General features: G+C 44.9%; 1 protein-coding gene across 29 annotated transcripts in view, besides 3 other annotated features; it reads right to left on the bottom strand.

Annotated features, from left to right (window-relative positions):
- The window catches only part of RBM47 (RNA binding motif protein 47), a 207,573-nt gene extending 201,142 nt beyond the window's left edge, over nucleotides 1-6,431 (bottom strand). For 12 of the 29 annotated variants that reach the window (XM_047415824.1, XM_047415814.1, XM_017008308.2 and 9 more), the window contains exon 1: nucleotides 4,975-5,443. The gene's annotated coding sequence lies outside the window, so the exon portion shown is untranslated. Of the gene's footprint in view, nucleotides 1-4,974; nucleotides 5,444-5,556 lie in introns of those variants that run through there. The other 17 variants (XM_017008310.3, XM_017008309.3, XM_005248103.5 and 14 more) reach the window with 7 other exon arrangements.
- Nucleotides 4,300-5,176: an enhancer, noted in NCBI's record as "OCT4-NANOG-H3K27ac hESC enhancer chr4:40630738-40631614 (GRCh37/hg19 assembly coordinates)". NCBI's record gives its function as "activates a minimal SCP1, AML or CMV promoter by ChIP-STARR-seq in primed H9 embryonic stem cells {active_cell/tissue: H9 hESC(primed)}" and the evidence as "EXISTENCE:reporter gene assay evidence [ECO:0000049][PMID:30033119]".
- Nucleotides 5,177-6,054: an enhancer, noted in NCBI's record as "OCT4-NANOG-H3K27ac-H3K4me1 hESC enhancer chr4:40631615-40632492 (GRCh37/hg19 assembly coordinates)". NCBI's record gives its function as "activates a minimal SCP1, AML or CMV promoter by ChIP-STARR-seq in primed H9 embryonic stem cells {active_cell/tissue: H9 hESC(primed)}" and the evidence as "EXISTENCE:reporter gene assay evidence [ECO:0000049][PMID:30033119]".
- Nucleotides 5,237-5,306: an enhancer, noted in NCBI's record as "active region_21494". NCBI's record gives its function as "activates an Ori minimal core promoter by ATAC-STARR-seq in GM12878 lymphoblastoid cells {active_cell/tissue: GM12878}" and the evidence as "EXISTENCE:reporter gene assay evidence [ECO:0000049][PMID:35858748]".
- Nucleotides 6,432-22,711: the final 16,280 nt, after the last annotated feature.

Raw genomic sequence — 22,711 nt, forward strand, 5'->3', positions numbered from 1 at the left:
ACCCTGATAACAAACTAGCCCACAGTGCTGAGCTCTCCTCCATGCCAGCATGCTGCAGCCTTTTATAATCTAACTAAATTCTAAGGTAAAGCCATAACCACCTCATTCTTCCCTGGACATGTCTAAAATAGTAAGATCATCCTCATGGAGAAATAGATCATAGGTATTAACTGGTAGTACATAAAACAAAAACAACAAAAACATTAGGCCATTGCATTTTCTGTTAATAAGAAGTTGCAGTGCCCCATTAAATTTTCTGTGTCACCAAAGCCTCCCAGTTGTAGTTACACAAAGGCAACTTTGTCTTGAGAAGGCTACTGGGAAGATGGGCCTAATCTTGGCAAGGGCTTGGTGTACCAAGAACCATGTTATTATTTTTTAATCAAATGACAACACACAAAAAGAAATATTATTTAAGCCATCTTTTCTTTTCTTTTTCTTTTTTTTTTTTTTTTTTTTTGTTGTTGTTGCCCAGGCTGGAGTGCAGTGGCGCGATCAGCTCACTGCAACCTCTGCCTCCTGGGTTCAAGCGATTCTCCTGCCTCAGCCTCCCGAGTAGCTGGGACTACAGGCACCCGCCACTATGCCTGGCTAATTTTTGTACTTTTAGTAGAGACAGGGTTTCACCCTATTGGCCAGGCTGATCTCGAACTCCTGACCTTGTGATCTACCCGCCTTGGCCTCCCAAAGTGCTGGGATTACAGACATGAGCCACCGTGCCCAGCCTAAGCCATCTTTTTAAAAGTCACAGTGCTATTATCATCACCAACTTGGAACCCTCGTTTTTGAAACACAAATGGTTTACCTGAGCTTACAAGGCTCAAATACACATTTTCAGAATAGGAATTAAATTGATCTAAGAGAAACAACACCTGAAAAAACCCTGTCCATTTTGTACTTCTGTACTTTTTGTTTTTCTTGGGGCACGTGAAATGCTTTACAAACATGATTGAGCCAGGTCTCAGTGCTCTGAAAGGTAGATACTTTTTATTATAATATTAATATGCTGACATTTCCTTGGTCAGGTACAGGCGTCCTGTTCCTGTTTCAGCTGCACAATGCCCTGCATTCATTGTACACTCACCCACTGCCCATTGGTACATATACTTAACTCTTGCTCACCCACATGTGGATTATCCATAGCGTCTGGGAACGGGTTGTCTTCCACCCCAGCTGGTGGATACTCAGGGAATATGAGCAAAACTGACAATTCATTGAAGCAAGGCACAATCAGGAGGCTCATTCAGCGTACACCCACCAGGAACCCACTGTGGTCTTCGTGCAGGGCCACCATGTTCATGAGAACCACAAATATATAGCATCCCCAAAGACAAATATCGTGATTTGGGGAGACTGGATGTTGTTTTCTTGATTAATGTGGCTGAGTGTAATCTATAAATAAAGCATACATTTTGCAGAACCAGAAATCTCCTGAGACCAAAAGATTGATATTTTCCTAAAACACAAAGGGTTTTCAGGGTTACACTAGCACTCTGTCTTCTCCCGATGTCATCTCCCTGAAATGGCCTTCAGAAAAGCAGAGATTGTGCTTTTGATTTCTAAAATGACTCCACTCTAAAAGCTTTGATAGGGTGCACCAAAAGAGCTACTATAGTCACAATCACTTTTACGTGATCAGCTTATTTATGTATTTTACTTTACAAACACATAAACCATATGCATCTAGACACACCCACAAATCGTTGTTTACATAAACTAAGTTCCTATGATGACAAAAATGGAAGATTCATAACAACCAAAAAAGATGCTCCTGTTAAATATGCAAGTTACATAAACTGAGCTGTAATTGTTTTGTTTTGTTTTTTCAGGTGTACTTAAACCACACAGAAAGTAGAGGAAAGGCAGACAGTGGGAGTATGGTTGAAGGGTTTGTGCCTTTTGTAATCAGTTTACTTTTGGTTTTACCAAGAGATGATATCTTGAATTCATTCAAACTAGTGTCTATTGCAGTACACTAGGAACATTTGAATTACAAAAGGAGAGGAGGAGCCTCCACTTCCCACAGTTGCTAGTTTACCTGCAATCCTTTGAGGGCAGTGGTAATCTCCATGTGAGCTTTCTGGTAAATTCCACACTAGGACCACATTCAGAACTTACCTGTTTCTTGGCCGTTTATTCCTCTAGACACTCTCTCCCTTTCTACTTTCGCTGGAAAATGAAAGTTTTCCTCCCCCACACCTTTTTCAGAGCAAAAGATACGAGAACCTTAAAAGCAGGTGGTCATTGACTTCAAGGGGACGAGATCGCCCTCCCCACTGCCTCTCCCCATACAGACGCTCACAGAATAGACGGGGAAGCAACTATGAGAGAAACAGAAGCAATCAGAACTCCAGCTCAGACGACCTCAGGAGTTTTACCAACAGGATGATTCAGGACCACACACAAAAAATGGCAGGGTGCCATTTCCCCCGAATCTCTCCCGCATAAGATGGAAACAACAACTTGAGGTGGCAACTGAGCAATTAGTTACTGATCATTTCTATGACAATTCTCTGAAGGCTCCAAAGGCCTCCTATCTTGAAACCCAGGTCATCTCTGCATTGCTATTATTGAAAATCTTTATCCAGTTGCTCTTTGAAGCCACTACTTGGAGCAGTAATGTTGGGACCAACACACACCTTTTATGATATTAAACCAGAAAATCAGCATCATCATTAAGACACAGAGACTGTTCCCAAGAGGGAAAGAAAATATATCTCCTAATCAGGCCAGTAGCTGAAACACTGCAATATAACCTGTAGCTTGGAATCACGGTGACAAGCACTTAAAGCTGCATTTAATGTCTTCATTGTAACTTCATCAAAGTTTGGCACACAAATTCTACCTTTATTCTAAGCATACCCTTTTTCTAAGTCTCATGAATCCCAAACTTAAACCCTCTTCAGAGTTTTTTTTCCCCAGAATTATGTATCTTCTGGGATTACCTAATCACAGTTTCACTTGAGCCTGGGTCCAATTTTAAGAAAATCTCCCTCCCTTCACGCTTATATCCACTCCCCTGACCTTTTCTGAAAAATCAAGAGACTTAAGATGTGGAGGCGGAAACTTACTGAAATAGCCAAATGCTTTTCTATAGCAATGAAAGCTCAGTCATTTGGGACATGATTTAATCTTGAGCTTCAGAGCAGAATTTGAAAAGCAAATTAAATCCTTTTGTAAGAAAATAATTTCATCTTAACCCAATCTTTTAAAAAATCATTACCTAGAACAGTAAACCAAATAGTCTAATATGAATGTTCTTATCATGTGAGGAAAAAAATGAGTAGTCTTTAACACTAGTTAGAGCAAGTCTATAGAACACGTGTCCAGAAGCATGTAGTTCCCTTGCTTTCTGTCTTTATTTCATCCTCAGTATCACTACTGCTTTGGGCAGAATTCTTTCAAAATTTAATTTAAAGCAGCACAGTGGGGGAATCAAAAATAAATATGTTGACTATTAAAAATATAGAGATTGGTAAAAAAAATGATGATGATGAATTCTCAATCCTACAAACTTCTGTAAACGCAAAAACCAAGAGGAAGATAATAAATCTTTAATAATTGATTGATATTCAGAATATCTTGATCTAATTAATTTAAAGCATGGCCTACCTAGCCAGGTAAAGGACGGCACAGCTAGGCTTATTTCTTCATTTGACACATACTGAAAGTTAATAATGAAGCTAGGTGCTTGGGAAATTTCTGAGACCCCATCCTTCCAGCATGCAATAATTAAGTCAAAGAGGCCAACAGTGTGTATATCAGAACAAGGTGAAGGGTAAAGCAGACCAGAAAAAAATATTAAAAACCAAACCATCTCCTCCTTTCTTTTTTTCCTTCTGTTTTCCTTTCAGACTGGGTTGATTTTAGTTCCCTCCAAGACTTCAAGTCATTGATCTAACAAAGATCATTGTTTAAATTAATAGCAACACAAACTCCCACAAAGTGATCTCTTCTTATGCTCTAGGTTGAGTACTTTGGTTTATCTAGAGGTTGTGTGTTACGCCGCTGACCACCTTTCACCTTTTAGAATCGGCACCTGCAATTCTCAAATGCTCTGGATCTAATTGCCAACCTTTTGAGCTCAAAACTTCGGCAACTCCTTCATGTTGGGTTGTCAACCCTTTGCTTTCCCTCCCCTGAGAAATTCGTATGACCTTGCCTTAAAACTTTTAAAGAATACATTTTAAAATCTATATTCCTGCTAAAGAAAACAGTGAGTCATTAAAATACCACCAGATAAAAAAAAAAGGTTTGATTTTTAGTTCAGGTCGGTAATGGCCTGTAAGTACCTTGAAGATGGTATCTTCCTATCACTTATGCCTTGGGACAGTACCCAAGAGTGGCTGAACTTTTACCTAATTAAAAAATGAGTCATTTATTTGAAAAATTCCACTTCCATTTATTTTATCTGATTTCTTAAATATCCGGTCAACTGCTAATTTGTCAGATGTCATAATTCGTCAGTCCTACCCTTTTCTACAGGCTGAATTTTTAATTTGAAACAACTACACCTCTACCGAGTGTTACTTTCAGACGTAAATTACTGCAGGAAGACCCCCCTCTGCCTTGGTTAACACTTAAATGAGATGCCTCCTGTCCAGGACGCTTCCTCAGTCTCACTGTAATAATCTGAGTCTAAAGTCACCTGTGCTTCTGGGCGGTCCAATCATGTATTTTCAAGAGTGAAAAAAAAAAATCAGTTTCTTTTATGGGAAAAGATTCATCACTACAGGAAACACGATGGGACTGACTGTATATGATTATCTGCCTTCCCAGAGGTTGACCCTTTTAAAACCGTTTTATAAACCCTTTATTTCCCACTAAATATACCAAGAGACAGAAGATGAGTGATAGCATGAGGGATAAGAGCTAAAGAGAGAAGAATAAGAAAAAAATATACACTTCAAAAATTGGGACCCAAATGTAAGATTAAGGGACAATAGTTAGAAGGACTACCAAAAACCACCTTACCTTTCCTTGTTAAGTTTTTGGAGCCGCCCACTTCAGAAATTAACACCATTCACAGCCCAGGAGCAACTTAACACAGCTAGGAAGTCACCTACAACATCTTCTCGTCCGCCTTCTTTTTAATGTAAAACCAAAATAAGGAGTGTCCAGCGACTCCCCACCGCGCCGCTTAAAGCAACAGAGCGTTTTAGGCTTAACTCCCAGGCTCTGGGAATTCCAGTGGGTCAGAATTGCTTAACCTTGGAGACTTGCAGAGAGAAAGTCTCCAGGAGGACCGCTCCCCAAACCCTGGTTTCTCTCTATCCCAAGCTGCACATTCCACAGTGGAAAGCGGGAGCGGCGACCCGAAGGCAGCGAAGTTCTCTCGGGCTCAGCTCCCGAGGCCGGGAGCGCGCGGCGGTTCCACCCGCAGAGCGGCGCCGCGTCCCGGCTGCGTGGGGCGCTGCGCACGGGAGCGCTCAGCGTCTAGTCTGCGGGCCCTTCCCGGTTCCCTCCCTCTCTCCTCCCGCCGCCCGCCCCCTGCCGAGGCCATCCGCCTCACAGTAGCAAGGTTGTCTCTCGTCTACTCCCTTCCCTTAAACTCACCAAACCAGATTTTTACTCCCAACACCGGCAACTTCCCGTAAATCTGCCCTGAAATTTTATCCTGCTGGCTGAGCCTCCCCTGGCTAAAGGCCAGTGCCACATTCCTGTTGTTTTTTAGGAGCGCAGATACCTTTGCTGAAGGTTCAAAGAAAATCGGCCTTGATGGCAGAGATTGGGGGACTTGACCAGACGGACTTCTCTCCCCGCCCCAAAAGTCACATGCCTTTCAGACACCCAGAAGTGGCACCTGCTCCACCTGGGGGCATCTGTCCGAGTCAGACGCTCGGCCCCCTTCGGGCTGCTCCGAGAAACCCAGCCAGAACCACGTTGGAGAAATTAGGAACCTGCTGCTGAATTTCAAGCCGATCGGAACCGCCCCGCTCCCCTTCTTCCCCCCATAAACAAGTCGCTGGACGAGGTGGGATCTCTGCGACCCCCGCGTGCCCGGGGAGAGCTCCCGGGGCGAGCTCCCGGGGCGTCCTTACCTGGGGCCGAGCATGGCTTGGCCGCGCGCAGGCAGGAGCGTCACGCGGACGGGGCCCTGACCTTTGCCGGGGCCTTCGCAGCAGGGCCTGGGGCCTGGGCGCTGCTCGTTCAGAAGTGGCTCATTTTAGTGCGCTCTGACCTAGAGTTACGGAGGGTTTCTAGAAAGGGAACAAAAAAACACTGCATTTAGAAACAGCAGCCAAGCCCTCGCTTCACCTTGCCTGCTCTCTGGGGAGTTGGCTCGAACCCCCACCCCATCCCAATTCCCAAGAAACCCAGATGTCCGCAATCCGCGCCCCACCCCCTCCGCCTTACCTGTTTATACAAGAGTTAAGGAGCCTCCCGCATTTCAGTGGAGCGCTAAGCCTGTTTGTAGGCGCGGAATGGGCCAACAGGAATCGAATTCTGTGACTAAACAAACTAGAAGAGGAAGCAGGCACCACCAGGAACCTAAAACAGAGTTGTGATTTCGGGTTGCAGTGTCATTCAGCTGAGGGGAAAGAAAAAAATACCGGGCTACTTTAGTGAAAGAATGTTCCAAAAATGGTTCTTTGCTGGTTGAGTTAACACATGCAAAGAGCTTAGAACGGTGCCTAGCACACAGTGTTAGCTGCCGTTATTGTTGTTGTTATTCTTCTTATTATTATTTACATTATGGCTTTTTTCTGAAGAAGAGTGTGTGGTCAGAGTTAGACATGGGCTGTAGCACCAGCATTGCCACTCACCAGCTGTGAGGCCATGAGCAAGATATTTAATCTCTCCCAGCCTCAGTTTCTGGAAGATTCTAACGATGGGATTTTTACAAACAGTTTATATTCATTGCTGACAGTCTTGAATACAATGGGAAATAAAGTCCCTGTAAAGGGTAGCCAACTGAATTTCATCTCACTTAAAAGTTACAAGATTGACAACAGAAATGGAGATAAATTTGCCTGCATTCCATGAAGCTCACTAACGGGAAGGAAATTCAGGGCCCAGCAATCACCCATCTGCTATGCTTAATTCTCATTTGTATTTTGGCACTTGACCTGGTGTCTTACCCTGGGATAGTTACTTATCCCAGACTGGGCCGGACAAATAATGACCCTTGCCGTTTGAAAAGCAGTATGAAAGAGAGGGAAATGATTTTGAAACTCCTCATAAATATTAAAAAGTGATTATTGAAGGCTAAAATGTTATCAGTGCCTCCACCCTTTATCCTCCATTTAACTTCACATTTAAAGAAAGAAATCATAATCCCTTTCCATTAGTGAGGCCCTTTCTACTTTATGGAGCACTTTCACCCTTCTTACTTTATGTGATCCTTACAAAATGATCCTATGAGCTATTTTGTCCCCATTTTGCAGATGAAGACACTGAGATCACACAGGTTAAGTGTAAGTCCAAGGTGGTGAGGCCAGGACTGGTTCTCAGTTCTAGTTAATTTTTTTTTAAGTTGAAAAATCAAACTGGATTTATTAAAATATATATAAATAACCCTCATTTTTCTTTATTTCATCAGTATTGGAAAGTTAAGTGAAAATTAATTAAAAAGTAGTAGTCCTAAGAGAGAGAAACAAAGGCTGAAGGGGTATCAAGAAAACCATAAATTTAAAAAGCAGCATTTGCCACCTTTGGGAAAAATGATTCCTTAAAACCAGCAAAGCATTCTGGAACATTTTAAATCCTTCTGATCTTTTATCTTCTCATGAGGCAAAATTTAACCCAGACAAATTCAACATTTCCTGTGTTTTAGGTTCATTCTTTGTCGATACCAGCCAGCATGTACTGTGAACAGCAGGCAGTGGGAACTCTCTTAGCTAAGTTCCCTCACCAGACCTAAGGGTTGATGCTGCCAGGCACAAACAACGGCTCCACCCCCTTAAGACAACTAAAAAACCCAGCTCCATATTAGCCTGAAATTTTCTTTTCTTTTCCAGAAGTATCTGGATTATGGCCTCAAAAAAGGCTCGCTGTCACAGACTGTCTGAGCTGAAGGATTCTAGAGGGGACATTCTCGCTGGGCACGGTGGCTCACGCCTGTAATCCCCACACTTTGGGAGGTCGAGGCAGGCAGATAACCTGAGGTCAGGAGTTCCAGATGAGCCTGGCCAACGTGGCGAAACCCCGTCTCTACTAAAAATACAAAAATTGGCTGGGCATGGTGGCAGGCACCTGTAATTCTAGCCACTCGGGAGGCTGAGGCGGGAGAATGGCTTGAACCCGGGAGGTGAAGTTTGCAGGGAGCCGAGATCGCGCCACTGCACTCCGGCCTGGGCGAAAGAGCAAGACTCCGTCTCAAAAAAAAAAATAAACACATAAATAAATTTAAAAAATGATAAAAATAAAAGAAATTTGAAAGTGTGGAGGTCAGTGACTCCAGGTGAACTGGAACTGGAGTCAGGGAAAACTCCTGCTTGAGGAGGCTCAGGTTCCACTTCAGGAAGTGAGTCCTCATCTCAAAGAGGGTCAGTTACCCTTTTTCAGATGTTGCCTGCTCCTTCTTCAGTTTTGCCCACTGACACCTATGAAATGGGTATATCCTTTCTTTCTTTTTTTGCACTCCATATCCGCTGGAGAAATGGGTATAATTCTTGTTCCTATTTCTCACTGCCCTCCCCGGGAACATGACAAAAATAAAACAGATTTTTCTAAGTGGCAGGCTATAGCAAAACAAATGTGAACTTTTATTATTTCTTTTTTGTGGCTAACCTTGGCGCCTGTTTTATTATTATTATAATTATTTTAATTCTTAGGCCCACTCCATTTTCCTGGGGCATTTTAGTTTTCTAGACCCTTGTCTTTTACTTTCTGTTTTCTTCTTTTCCTTCTGCCTATGAGGCAATGTTCCGGAGTGAGTGCAAACAGCATGAAAATTAGTTTCCAATAGATTTGAGTTTGAATCTCAATTTCTTCTCTGAGCTATGTGATGTTGGACAAATTGCTTAATCGCTTTGAGTTTTAGTGTCTTCATTTATAAATTAATAACAGCTATCTTTCTGGATTTCTTTTTGTTTGTTTTTTCCGAGATGGAGTCTCACTCTATTGCCCAGGCAGGAGTGCAATGGCACAATCTCGGTTCACTGCAACCTCTGCCTCCCAGGTTCAAGTGATTCTCCTGCCTCAGTCTCCCGAGTAGCTGGGATTACAGGCACGCAGCACCACGCCCAGCTAATTTTTGTATTTTTTTGTTAGTAGAGAGGGGGTTTCACCATGTTGGTCAGGCTGGTCTTGAACTCCTGACCTCGTGATCCGCCTGCCTCAGCCTCCCAAAGTGCTGGGATTACAGGCGTGAGCCACCACGCCTGGCCTTTTTTTTTTTTTTTTTTTTTTTTTGTGACAGAGTCTCGCCCTTGTTGGCCAGGCTGGAGTGCAATGGTGCGATTTTGGCTAGCTCGAACCTCCACCTTCCAGGTTCAAGCGATTATCCCAAGTAGTGGGGATTACAGGCATGCACCACCATGCCCAGCTAGTTTTGTATTTTTAGTAGAGACAGGGTCTCACCATGTTGGCCAGACTGGTTTCGAACCCCTGACCTCAGATGATCCACCCGCCTCAGCCTCCCAAAGTGCTGGAATTACAGGCGTGAGCCACTGCACCTGGCCATCTCTCTGGATTTCTACAAGAGTTAAATGAAAGCTAAAATCTCAGCATGGTCCTTGGCACATAGAAGTTACTGAAGAAATGGTATTTCCTTTTGAATCTGGAAAGAAACCTGCTCCACAGCTCACAAAGAATTGTCTTTCCCATGCTTAAGTCCTAGATCAAATAACACTATCTAAGACACCCTCATCAAGAGAGGTAAGCCACAATAGAAAAATAAGCAGTCATGTGCATACCATTTGCACTCATGGGCATAGCATGTACGTAGCATTTCCAATGATAGATTTATTATCACCTTTGATCATCACAACTGTGAGAGTTAAATATGGATAAGGCGGGGCTGGGCACAGTGGCTCACACCTGTAATCCCAGCACTTTAGGAGGCCGAGGAAGGTGGATCACCTGAGGTCAGAAGTTCAAGACCAGGCTGGTCAACATGGTGAAACCCTGTCTCTACTAAATACACAAAAATTAGCCGTGTGTGGTGGCGGCTGCCTGTAATCCCAGCTACTCTGGAGGCTGAGACAGGAGAATCACTTGAACCCTGGAAGCAGAGGTTGCAGTGAGCCGAGATCGCACCGTTGCACTCCGGCCTGGGCAACAAGAGCGAAACTTCATCTCAGAAAAATAAATAAATAAATAAATAAATAAATGGATAAGGTACAAAACAGTTGTATCACCCCATGGTTCAGATTAGGAAAGTAAGGTTCTCAGTAGTTGCTATAAGTTGCAGAGCCAAGTTTTATTTTGTTTTTGTTTGTTTGTTTGTTTTTACTGCTTTTCACTATTCCACACTACTGAAACTATAGAGATGGGGTCTCATCATGTTATCCAGGCTGGTCTCAAACTCCTGGGCTCAAGTGGTCTGGCTGCCTTGGCTTCCCAAAGTGCTAGAATTACAGGTGTGAGCCACCGCACCCAGCCTGAACCTAAGCTTCCTATTGTGACTGGTGATTATTTCTCTCAACAGGTATTATTCAGAAAAGAAATCCTTTTTTTTTTTTGAGACGCAGTCTTGCTCTGTCGCCCAGGCTGGAGCACAGTGGTGCAATCTCGGCTCACTGCAACCTCTGCCTCCCGGATTCAAGAGATTCTCCTGCCTCAGCCTCCCAAGTAGCTGGGATTACAGATGTGCACCACCATGTCCAGCTAATTTTTGTATTTTTTTAGTAGAGACAGGGGTTTCACCATGTTGGCCAGGCTTGTCTTGAACTCTTGACCTCGTGATCCGCCCACTTCGGCCTCCCAAAGTGCTGGGATTACAGGCATGAGCCACCAAGCCTGGCCAGGAAATCCTATTTTAATCCAGAACATGCAGCTTGACCAGAGAGACCTCTCATCCCCACAGTTTCTAAAGCCTCCACTTTCCCCATAGGGTGGCCACACCCATAGAAGCTTGTTCTAAAAAATATTTTTGTTTTCAATTTTAATATTAAACTCCCACTAAATCTAATATGTGCAAATTTAAGACGTTTTATTCCAGGGCACTCTTTAATCCAAAGGATTTAGCCCAGGGCCTACCCCTAGAATGCAGTAGCCAGCCCATAGGATGAGGGAGAGCCATTCAGAACTCATTTAGAAGGGAGTCTGGGCTGTTGGTTTCCGTGCCACACCATAGGAGGGCCCCTGACTGAATTTTAAAAATGTACTGAGTTCACAGAAAAGGGAATTAAGTATAGCAGGGGTTCACTTCGAACATTAATCTCAGAAGCCAAATCCTTCATTTTGAGAAAGGCCTTCAATGCAAGGAGTCCCTTGACCTTCGTTCTTGCACAAATAGCTCTGCCAAAGCCTGTCCCGCTGAGATGGAGGGAGCACTAATGTAAATTATAGGCTCTTAAAGGCCCACTCAAGACCACGGAATGATTTTGTTATGGCAACAAATGCTGTTAATTCCCCTGTATCCCTTTAAGACTTATTCCCTACCAGAGACGATCTGCAGATTTCTTTCTATTTTATAATGGAAAACAGCCCCACCTAAGAAGCCCAATCATTCAGCAATAACTTATCAGAAAAGATTGCCAACATAAAATTGCTAACATTTATTAAGTGCTTACGGAGTATTTGCCAGACACTGTGCCACACACTTTACATGTATTAACTGTATAATCCTCACAACAAGCCCATGAGCTAGAGATTGTTGTTAGACCCATTTTATACAGAAAGAGACAAAATAAGTGACATTACTGAGTTCCCACAACTAGAAAGTGGCAGAGTTGGGGTTTAACCCAGACTTTCTGGCTCGTGAACCTGTAACCCTAACCATGGCCTCCACGGCCTCACAAAAAATGCCATATGTGTCCATGATTGTGTTACAAATGTTGTGTGTATTCGAGTAGTGGTATCACTAGTGTCAAGAACACTGCCTGGAACATAATGGGCTCTCAACAAGTGTCCATTGAATGAATGAGCGAATGTGGATGTACATTTAAATGTTATGATCTCAATATTGAGAGGTGTGTGTCAAGAAAGGGTCTAGCTCATCTAGGATTTGAGGGTTACGAACACATTTGAGAATGATTAAAAGTGTGTTTTCAAAAATATGGTTAAGCCAGGCACCGTGGCATGCAGCTGTAGTCTCAGCTACTCAGGAGGCTAAGGTGGGAGGATTGCTTGAACCGAGGAGTTCAAGTCTAGCCTGGGCACCATAGTGAGAAACCATCTCTAAAAATGTGTGTGTGTTGGGACAGGGAGGGTTAAGGTTTTAATTTGAAATATACTGCAGGGGATGATGATTTTATAGGACAGAATTAATTGCAGATGTGGACAAATTTACTGACTATAAAATCTACATCAAAATAATGTGAACATTCTTGCCTCTGCTTCTATTATTTTTCTGCTTGGAATACCTTTGTGCCACCATCTGTCTGTCGCCTATATACACTTAATCCTCAAGAATACAGGGCTGTTCTGGGCTGGGTGCGGTGGCTCACACCTGTAATCCCACCACCTTGAGAGGCTGAGGCGGGCAGATCACTTCAGCTCAGGAGTTTGACACCAGCCTGGGCAACAGGTCAAAACCCTGTCTCTACAAAAAATATGAAAATTAGCGAGGCAGGGCCGGGCGCGGTGGCTCATGCCTGTAATTCCAGCACTTTGGGAGGCTGAGGCGGGCGGATCACCTGAGGTCAGGAGTTCGAGACCAGCCTGGCCAACATGGTGAAACCCCTTCTCTACTAAAAGTACAAAAATTAGCTTATAATACCAGCTATTCAGGAGGCTGACGCAGGAGAATGGCTTGAACCCGGGAGGCAGATGTTGCAGTGAGCCGAGATGGCACCATTGCACTCCAGCCTAGGCGACAGAGGGAGACTCAGTCTCAAAAAAAAAAAAAAAAAAAATTAGCCAGGCAGGGTGGCACCCACTCAGGAGGCTAAGGTGGGAGGATCGCTGGAGCCTGGGAAATCAAAGCTACAGTGAGCTATGATTCTGCTACTGCACTTCAGCCTGGGTGACAGAGCTAGACTCTGTCCCCCAAAAATAAATTAAATTAAATTTAAAATAAATAAAAATTTTAAAAGATCACTATCTGTTCCCACACAAAGAAATAGTAAATGTTTGAGATGATGGATTTGATTTGGTAATTACACTGATTTGATCATTACACATTGTATACATGTATTGAAATATCACAATGTATCCCATAAATATGTACAGTTATTACGTGTCAATCAAAAACAGTAAAGAAAAGAAAACACGCACACACACAGTCTGGAGCCAGATGCCTGAGTCTGAATCCCATCTCTGCCACTTACTGGGTGAGTATGGGCAATTCACTTAGCCATCCAGGGCCTTTAGACTCTTCAGCAGTACCCACTTCCTTGAGAGTATTAGGAGGATTCCACGTGTAACTGTAGGTGCAGTCTTGAGAACAACACCAGACCATTATAAGCCTCATCTAAGTATTTTCTGTTATGATTATTCATCTAAACATCCAGCCAATGTTTCAACCAACATTTTTCAAGCATCTACTATGTGTCAGGTTCTGTGCATCATGCTGAAGGTAGAAAAGTAAATGAGCTGGCCAGATGCTGTGGCTCATGCCTGTAATCCTAGCACTTTGGGAGGCTGAGGTGGGCAGATCACCTGAGGTCAGGAGTTCGAGATCAGCCTGGCCAACATGGTGAAACCCCATCTCTACTACAAATACAAAAAAATTAGCCAGGCGTGGTGGTGGGTGCCTGTAATCCCACCTACTCGGGAGGCTGAGGCAGGAGAATCACGTGAACCCAGGAGGCAAAGGTTGCAGTGAGCCATTGCACTCCAGCCTGGGCAGCAAGAGTAAAACTCCATCTTAAAGAGGAAAAAGAAAGAAAGAAAGGAAAGAAAGAAAGGAAGGAAGGAAGGAAAGAAAGAGAAAGAGAGAAAAGAAAGAAAGGAAGGTAAGTAAATGAGCTATGGTTCAAGGAAGGTAGGTAAGTAAATGAGCTATGGTTCCTGTCCTCAAGGAACTCATATCTTATGAAGGCAGGTAAGCAACCAGCCAATGGTCATATGGTGTGTAAGCCCAGGATGCTTTGTGAGTAGGTATATATTCTTTGTTTGTTTGTTCTGCTTTTGTTTTTTGTTTTGGGGAGTACTTATATATTCTAACCTAGGCTTAAAGGGCCACACTTGGGGAGAGCTGAGAGTCTTGAAGGTTGCCTACAAGCTAGTGAGGCAAAGAAGAGGAGAAGTGCATTTCAGGTGAGCAAAAATCACCAAGGAACAAAATAAATTGTAGATTAAGGTGTGTAAAGGCAAGGAGTTTTCTATGGCTGGAGGGTTGCATGGCAGTGATGTGAGATGAAATTGAGAGACAGACAGGGGCCAGTTCATGAGGAAAAGTGTCTGTCATGCCAGGGAGTTCAGAAAGGTTTCAAATAAGGAGTGCTGAGATCAGATAGGCATATCCATCAGAGTCCAGGGTAGTGGCAAAGTAGATGGAGAAGAGAGGATTCACGATATATTTAAAAGATGAGAGTCATGGTATCATGGTAAGAGTCAGATAATTGGGGGTAAGATAGAAGACAGCAGAAAATTTGGAGTAGAGATGAGATAATCATTCATTCTGTAAATATTCATTGAACTCCTACTATATCCCAATCACTTTTCTAGACCTGGGGAAAACAGCAGTGAACAAAACAGTCATAAATTCTGTCCTCGTGGAGCTTGCTTCTGTTGGGAGCAGACAAAGAAAAAACAAATAAGTAAAATATAAAGCATGCTTGATGATAGTAAGTACTATGAAGAAAAACAAAGCAGAGAAGGGAATAGAAAAAAAAACAGAGACAAAATAAAGCTGAAAGCTGGTTGCAATATTTCAAAGGTGATAAGGAAAGACTTCCCTGAGAAGGTGACATTGAGAGGAACTAAAGACAGTAAGGGACAGATTAATGCAGATGCTCAGAGGAAGTATATTCCAGGCAGAGCAAGAGTATGCTTGGTGCCTTCAAGAATGGCTAGAATGCGAGGCCGGGCGCGGTGACTCACGCCTGTAATCCCAGCACTTTGGGAGGCCGAGGCGGGCAGATCACGAGGTCAGGAGATTGAGACCATCCTGGCTAACACGGTGAAACCCCGTCTCTATTAAAAATACAAAAAATTAGCAGGGCGTGGTGGTGGGTGCCTGTAGTCCCAGCTACTCAGGAGGCTGAGGCAGGAGAATGGCGTGAACCCCAGAGGTGGAGCTCTCAGTGAGCTGAGATTGTGCCACTGCACTCCAGCCCTGGCGACAGAGCAAGACTCCGTCTCAAAAAAAAAAAAAAAAAAAAAAAAGAATGGCTAGAATGCATGTACACCATGGAATACTATGCAGCCATAAAAAAGAGTGATTAGCCAGGCATGGTGGTTCACGTCTGTAATCCCAGCACTTTGAGAGGCTGAGGTGGGAGGATCACTTGAGCCCAGGAGTTCGAGGCCAGCCTGGGCAATGAATTAGTCTCTACAAATTAGTCGGGCATGGTGGTGCACACCTGTAGTCCCAGCCACTCAGGAGGCTAAGGTGTAAGGATTGCTTGAACCTATGAGGTCGAGCCTGCAGTGAACTGTGATCATGCCACTGCACTTCAACCTGGTAACAGAGCAAGACCCTGAAAAAAAAAAAAAAAGAACAAGATCATGTCCTTTGCAGGAACGTGGATGGAGCTGGAGGCCAGCATTCCTAGCAAACTTAATTCTTTGCCACTGTGCCTGGTATTCTCAACAAATTATCCAGAAAACCACGAGTCATCTGTCAGGTTTAGCACCAAAAGAGAAACATATCTGCCATCTCTTTTCTGGTTCAATCATTTTATTTTATAGGTAAGGAAACAGACCTGGAAAGACAAAGTGACTTCTCCCAAGATTAACCAGCCTCTTTCTAAAAGGCAGTGTCAGGACTCAGACATCTGACTCTAAATCAGTGTTTCATTTAGTCTTCACATCCTGCAGGAACAGAACACCAAACACTACATGTTCTCACTTATAAATGGGAGCTAAATAACGAGAACCAGTGGGCATTAAGAGGGGAACAACAGACACTGGAGCCTGCTGGAGGGACATGGGAGAGGATCAGGAAAAATAACTATTGGGTACTATGCTTAGTACCTGGGTGACAAAATGGTCTATACACCAAACCACTGTGACACGAGTTTGCCTGCATTAACAAACCTGCACCTGTATTCCTGAACCTAAAATTAAAGTTAAAAAAGAAAAGGCTTTGGGTGGCTCACTCCTGTAATCCCAGCACTTTGGGAGGCCGAGGCGGGCGGATCACGAGGTCGGGAGATGGAGACCATTCTGGCTAACACGGTGAGACCCCGTCTCTACTAAAAACACAAAAAATTAGCCGGGCGTGGTGGCGGGCGCCTGTAGTTCCAGCTACTGGGGAGGCTGAGGCAGGAGAATGGCGTGAACTCGGGAGGCGGAGCTTGCAGTGAGCCGAGATCGTGCCACTGCAGTCCATCCTGGGCGACAAAGCGAGACTCCATCTCAAAAAAAAAAAAAAAAAAGAAAAGAAAAGAAAAGGCTTTGGGAGGCCGAGGCGGGCAGATCACGAGGTCAGGAGATCGAGACCATCCTGGCTAACATGGTGAAATCCCGTCTCTACTAAAACTACAAAAAAAAAAAATTAGCCGGCCATGGTGGTGGGCGCCTGTAGTCCCAGCTACTCGGGAGGCAGAGGCAGGAGAATGGAGTGAACCCAGGAGGCGGAGCTTGCAGTGAGCAGAGATCGTGCCACTGCACTCCAGCCTGGAAGACAGAGCAAGACTCCATCTCAAAAAAAAAAAAAAAAAAAAAAAAGGAAAGGTTGGGCACGGTGGCTCACGCCTGTAATCCCAGCACTTTGGGAGGCCAAGGCAGGCAGATCACCTGAGGTCAGGAGTTTGAGACCAGTCTGGCCAACATGGCAAAAGTCCGTCTCCACTAAAAATACAAAAATTAGCTGGGCATAGTGGTGGGCACCTGTAGTCCCAGCTACTCCGGGAGGCTAAGGCAGGAAAATCACTTGAACCCAGGAAGCAGAGGTTGCAGTGAGCTGAGTTGGTGCCATTGGACTCCAGTCTGGGCGATAGAACGAGACTCCCTCTCAAAAAAAAAAAAAAAAAAAAAAAAGCAGCTAGAAGAGCAGGGCATGCTGGCATATGCATGCAATCCCAGCTACTCAGTTCAGGAGCCTGGGCAACGTAGTGAGATCCTGCCACAGTTTAAAAAAATTGGCAGCCAACACAGTGGCTGTGCTTGGGAGGCTAAGGGAGGGAAAGTGCTGGAGTCCAGGAATTCAAGCCTGCAGTGATCCATTACTGTACCACTGCACTCCAGCCTGGGTGACAGAGCGAGACTCCGTCTCAAAAAAAAAAAAAGAGAAAGAAAAAAGAAAGAACAGCTGGAAGGTTTGGGCTGCAGTAGCCAGAGTGGATAGAAATAAGAAATGAGGCCTTGGCGTGGTGGCTCACTCCTGTAATCCCAGCACTTTGGGAGGCTGAGGCAGGCAGATCACCCTGAGGTTGGGAGTTTGAGACCAGCCTGGCCAGCATGGTGAAACCCCGCCTCTACTAAAAATACAAAAATTAGCCGGGCGTGGTGGCAGGCACCTGTAATCCCAGCTACTCAGGAGGCTGAGGCACAAGAATTGCTTGAACCTGGGAGGTAGAGGTTGCAATGAGCTGAGATCGTGCCACTGCACTCCAGCCTGGGTAACAGAGCAAAACTCTGTGACACACACACACACACACACACACACACACACACACACACAGGAAGATAAAAAGAAATAAGAAATGAGGTAGGAAGATAATGGGGCCAAACTGTGTACAGCCTGCTAAGGTTTCTGGTCCATTGTAAGGACTTTGGCGTTTGCTCTGATGGCGTGCAGAGCCATTGAGTAAAATAGTGACCAGTCAGATAGATGCTAGTGGTTTTTTTTTTTTTTAAGATGGAGTCTCACTATGTTGCCCAGCCTGGAGTGCAGTGGCACAATCTCAGCTCACTGCAACCTCTGCCTCCAGGGTTCAAGCGATTCTTCTGCCTCAGCCTCCCGAGTAGCTGGGACTACAGGCGCCTGTCACCACACCTGGCTACTTTTTGTATTTTTAGTAGAGACAGGGTTTCACCATATTGGCCAGGCTTGTCTCGAACTCCTGACTTCATGATCCGCCCGCCTTGGCCTCCCAAAGTGCTGGGATTACAGGCATGAGCCACCATACCCGGCCGTTTTTGGGTTTTTTTTTTTTGAGAAAGAGTCCCTTGCTCTGTCGCCCAGACTGGAGTGCAGTGGCGCAATCTCAGCTCACTGCAACCACCGCCTCCCAGGTTCAAGCGATTCTCATGCCTCAGCCTCCCCAGTAGCTGGGATTACAGATGTGCACCACCACGCCCAGCTAATTTTTGTATTTTTATTAGAAATAGGGTTTCACCATGTTGGCCAGGCTGGTCTCAAACTCCTGACCTCAAGCTATCAGCCTGCGTTGGTCTCCCAAAGTGTTGGGATTAAAAACATGAGCCACCGTGCCCAGACAGATGCTAGTTTTAACAAGGTCACTAGTTCTGAGTGCAGTATTAGTGCACATAGCAAGGGATCAGAGCAGCAGCAGAGGCACCACTTTGGACGTCATTGCTGTAGTGCCTGAATTCATCTTCAAACTCCCGAACTTCAAAACTCCCACACATACAGGCCTAGTGAGCCTCATCAGGTGCACCTAGCAGGCAGAAGAATGTCCCGTATGTAGGCACAAGTTTGATGTCTTGGCAGCGAATTGATAAGGCTTGAAGCCAAGAGATCGCCCAGAGTGTTGGGTGAACAAGAGGAGGATAGGACTAGGGACAGAAACTGTGTCCTGGCAAAGGGACAAGAGCATATGGAGAAGCTAAGAAGAAAGCGTTAGTCCAGGAAATAATTAGATTCAAGAAGGAAGGTGTGTTTACAAAGTCAACTGAGGCAAACGGTTAATAAGACAAGGATTGAAAACGATCATTTTGTTTTGCAACTGGGAGATAACGGGCGCCCTTGACAAGGGTGGTTTCCGTGGAGTGGTAAGGCTGAGCAGTGACTGGGCAGTGAAGGCGGGAAGACAGCAAGCAAGACAAACTGCTCAACTAATGGGGCCATGAAATGAAGAACAGTGATAGGGTAATCACCATTGGATCAAAGGAGAGCTGGCCTTTTGAGATGAGCATGTCTATAAACTGAAGATAAAAGCCAGTCAGGTGTGATTGGGTGTCTTAGACATGCAGGACAATCATTCATCCATTCATTCACTTGTTCAACAAGTATTCATAATCTATCAAGAGTCAAACACTGGGCATACACAGATAAATAGAAACATGATCCATTCCATCACCTTGGAACTACAGACACATGTATAACTATACAAGAGTACAAAGTGAGGGGAGCAGTAGAGATGGTTGTAAATGCCAGAAGAATCTATTAATTGTGCCTGTGGGGAAAAAGGGAAACAGTAAGGGAAAATTCCTAGAGATGGTAATATTTGGACAGGGGATTATTATTATTATTATTATTTTGAGATGGAGTTTCTCTCTTTTTGCCCAGGCTGGAGGGCAATGGCGCGATCTTGGCTCACCACAACCTGTGCCTCCTGGGTTCAAGCAATTCTCCTATATCAGCCTCCCAAGTAGCTGGGATTACAGGTGCCTGCCACCATACCCAGCTAATTTTTGTATTTTTTTAGTAGAGACAGGGTTTCACCATGTTGGCCAGGCTGGTCCTGAACTCCTGAGCTTGGGTAATCCACCCGCCTCAGCCTCCCAAAGTGTTGGGATTACAGGCGTGAGCCACTGTGCCTGGCCTTGGACAGGGAGTTATTATTATGTTTTTATTGAAAGAAAAAATTTTAGGCCAGGTGCGGTGGCTCATGTCTGTAATCTCAACACTTTGGGAGGCCAAGGCGGGTGGATCACTTGAGGTCAGGAGGTTGAGACCAGCCTGGCCAATATGGAGCAATCCAGTCTCTACTAAAAATATATTAAAAAATTAGGGTGGGTGTGGCAGTGCGTGCCTGTAGTCTCAACTACTTGGGAGGTTGAGGCAGGAGAATCGCTTGAACCCGGGAGGCAGAGGTTGCAGTGAGCCAAGATGGCACCACTGCACTCCAGCCTGGGTGACAGAGTAAAACTGTGTCTCAACAACAGCAACAAAAAATACAAAACATTGCTGGGCGTGAGGCACGAGAATCACTTGAATCTGGAAGTGGAGGTTGCAGTGAGCAGAGATCACGCTACTGTACTCCAGCCTGGATGACAGAGCGAGGCTCCGTCTCAAAAAGAAAAAAAAAATTTAGAGATGGTCTCACTCTGTCATCCAGGCTGGAGTGCAGTAGTGTGATCATAACTCACTGCAGTCTCAAACTCCCGGACTGGACTCAAGCAATCTGCCTGTCTCAACCTCCCAAGTAGCCGGAATTACAAGCATGTGCCACCATGCCCAACTAACTTTTCTTTAAATGTTTTGTAGACATGGGGTCTTGCTATGTTGCCTAGGCTGGTGTCAAACTCCTGGGCTCAAGCCATCTGCCTTCCTTGGCCTCCCAAAGTACTGGGATTGCAGACATGCTCCACCATTCCCAACCTGGACAAGGGAATTAAAAATGAGAAAATGAAGGGTGGCAGGGCATTCTAGCCAGAGGAACCACATGAACAACAATGACAAGATTCGGATGTGGGGGTAGGGGTTGGGATTAGAAAGCATTTAGTATCTGGTGTGACTGGGAGTGTGGTAAAGTGGCAGGATTTGCAGCTAGTAAGATGGGTTGGAGCCAGGTCCTTAAGAGCTTTGAAAGGAGAATGGGTTTGTTTGTTTGTTTGTTTGTTTGAGACAGTCTCACTCTGTCTCCCAGGCTGGAGTGCAGTGGTTCGATCTCGGCTCACTGCAGCCTCCACCTCCTGAGTTCAAGTGATTCTCCTGCCTCAGCCTCCCAAGTAGCTGGGATTACAGGCATGTATCACCACGCCTGGCTAATTTTTGTATATTTTGTAGAGATGGGGTTTTACATCCAGGCTAGTCTCAAACTCCTAGAGCTCAAGCAATCCTCCGACCTTGGCTTCCCAAAGTGCTGGGATTACAGGTGTGAGCTACCACACCCAGCTGGTTCTTATTTTTATGGGTGACAAGACTGAGCAGAAAAGTGACATAATCAAGGATGTATCTCAGAGAAAAAACCTCAAGCACACCACAGAGGATAGACTGAAGAAGGAACTTGGGAGCAGAGAGATTGGTTATGAGGAGATTGCAATCATCCAGGTAAGAAATGACAAGGTCCACAGGGCCAGGTAAGAGATGACAAGGTCCACAGAGATGTTGAATGTGGTAACTATTATAGGTGATCTCATTCCACTCTTTTTCCAGCATGCCTTCCTGTACTAAAAGGCTGGAAAGCTGAAAGCTACCTTTCCCAGACTTCCTTGCAGTCAAAGTTCCAAATGTAATGTATGTTCTGACAAACAGAGCCATCTGAGCCAGGTTTAGAAGGTAAAAGCAAGGGAGAGGACAGGTTTCTGGCTGTTTCTCCAGCAAGTACAGGCGCACACACATAGAATGTTCCTGCAGCTCCATCCCAGTGTGCAGCTCTAGCTTTGTGGGTATTGAGAGAACACAGGGCACCCATCTTTTGCTGGTATGGACCTGGCAGACATAGCACGGCTCTGTTCCAGATGCGGCAGTGGCAGCTTTTCTGATCCCTGAAAAATGAAAGTGGCATGTCCATGAACGCAATAGTTACAGGGGTAGTTTTCTGATTCCTCACCTTCCTGGATGGGGCTGATGCGGCAGCTCCCCTGGCAGGCCAGCTCTGTAGTGTTACTATGGACGTCATGCCCAAAGTTCCAGCCAGGTACCTGCTCGTCCAACAACTGTTTAGGGCCGGGCACAGTGGCTCACGCCTGTAATCCTACCCCTTTGGGACGCCGAGGCGGGAAGATTGCCTTGAGTTCAGGAGTTGGAGACGAGCCTGGCCAACATGGTGAAACCCTGTCTCTACTAAAAATACAAAAGTTAGCCGGGCATGGTGGCAGGTGCCTGTAATCCCAGCTACTTGGGAGGCTGAGGCAGGAGAATTGCTTGAACCCGGGAGGCAGAGGTTGCAGTGAGCCGAGATTGTGCCACTGCATTCCCGCCTGGGCAACAGAGCAAGACTATCTCAAAAACAAAACAAAACAAAACAAATGTGTAAGCACCTACTTGCATAAATAAATCCCCTTCTGCTTAAAATAGTTACAGAGTTGCTGGGCATGGTGGCTCACGCCTGTAATCCCAGCACTTTGGGAAGCTGAGGCAGGCGGATCACGAGGTCAGGAGTTCAAGACCAGCCTGGCCAACATAGTGAAACCCTGTCTCTACTAAAAATACAAAAATCAGCTGGGTGTGGTGACACGCACCTGTAATCCCAGCTACTCAGGAGGCTGAGGCAGGAGAATTGCTTGAACCCAGGAGGTGGAGGTTGCAGTGAGCCAAGACCGCACCATTGCACTCCAGCCTGGGCAACAAGAGCAAAACTCTCTCTCAAATATATATGTGTGTGTATATATATATATATATATATATATATATATATATACACACATATATATGTGTGTATATATACACATACATATGTATGTGTATATATACACATAT

The sequence above is a fragment of the Homo sapiens genome, chromosome 4, assembly GCF_000001405.40.
Source record: "Homo sapiens chromosome 4, GRCh38.p14 Primary Assembly".
NCBI lineage: Eukaryota > Metazoa > Chordata > Mammalia > Primates > Hominidae > Homo > Homo sapiens.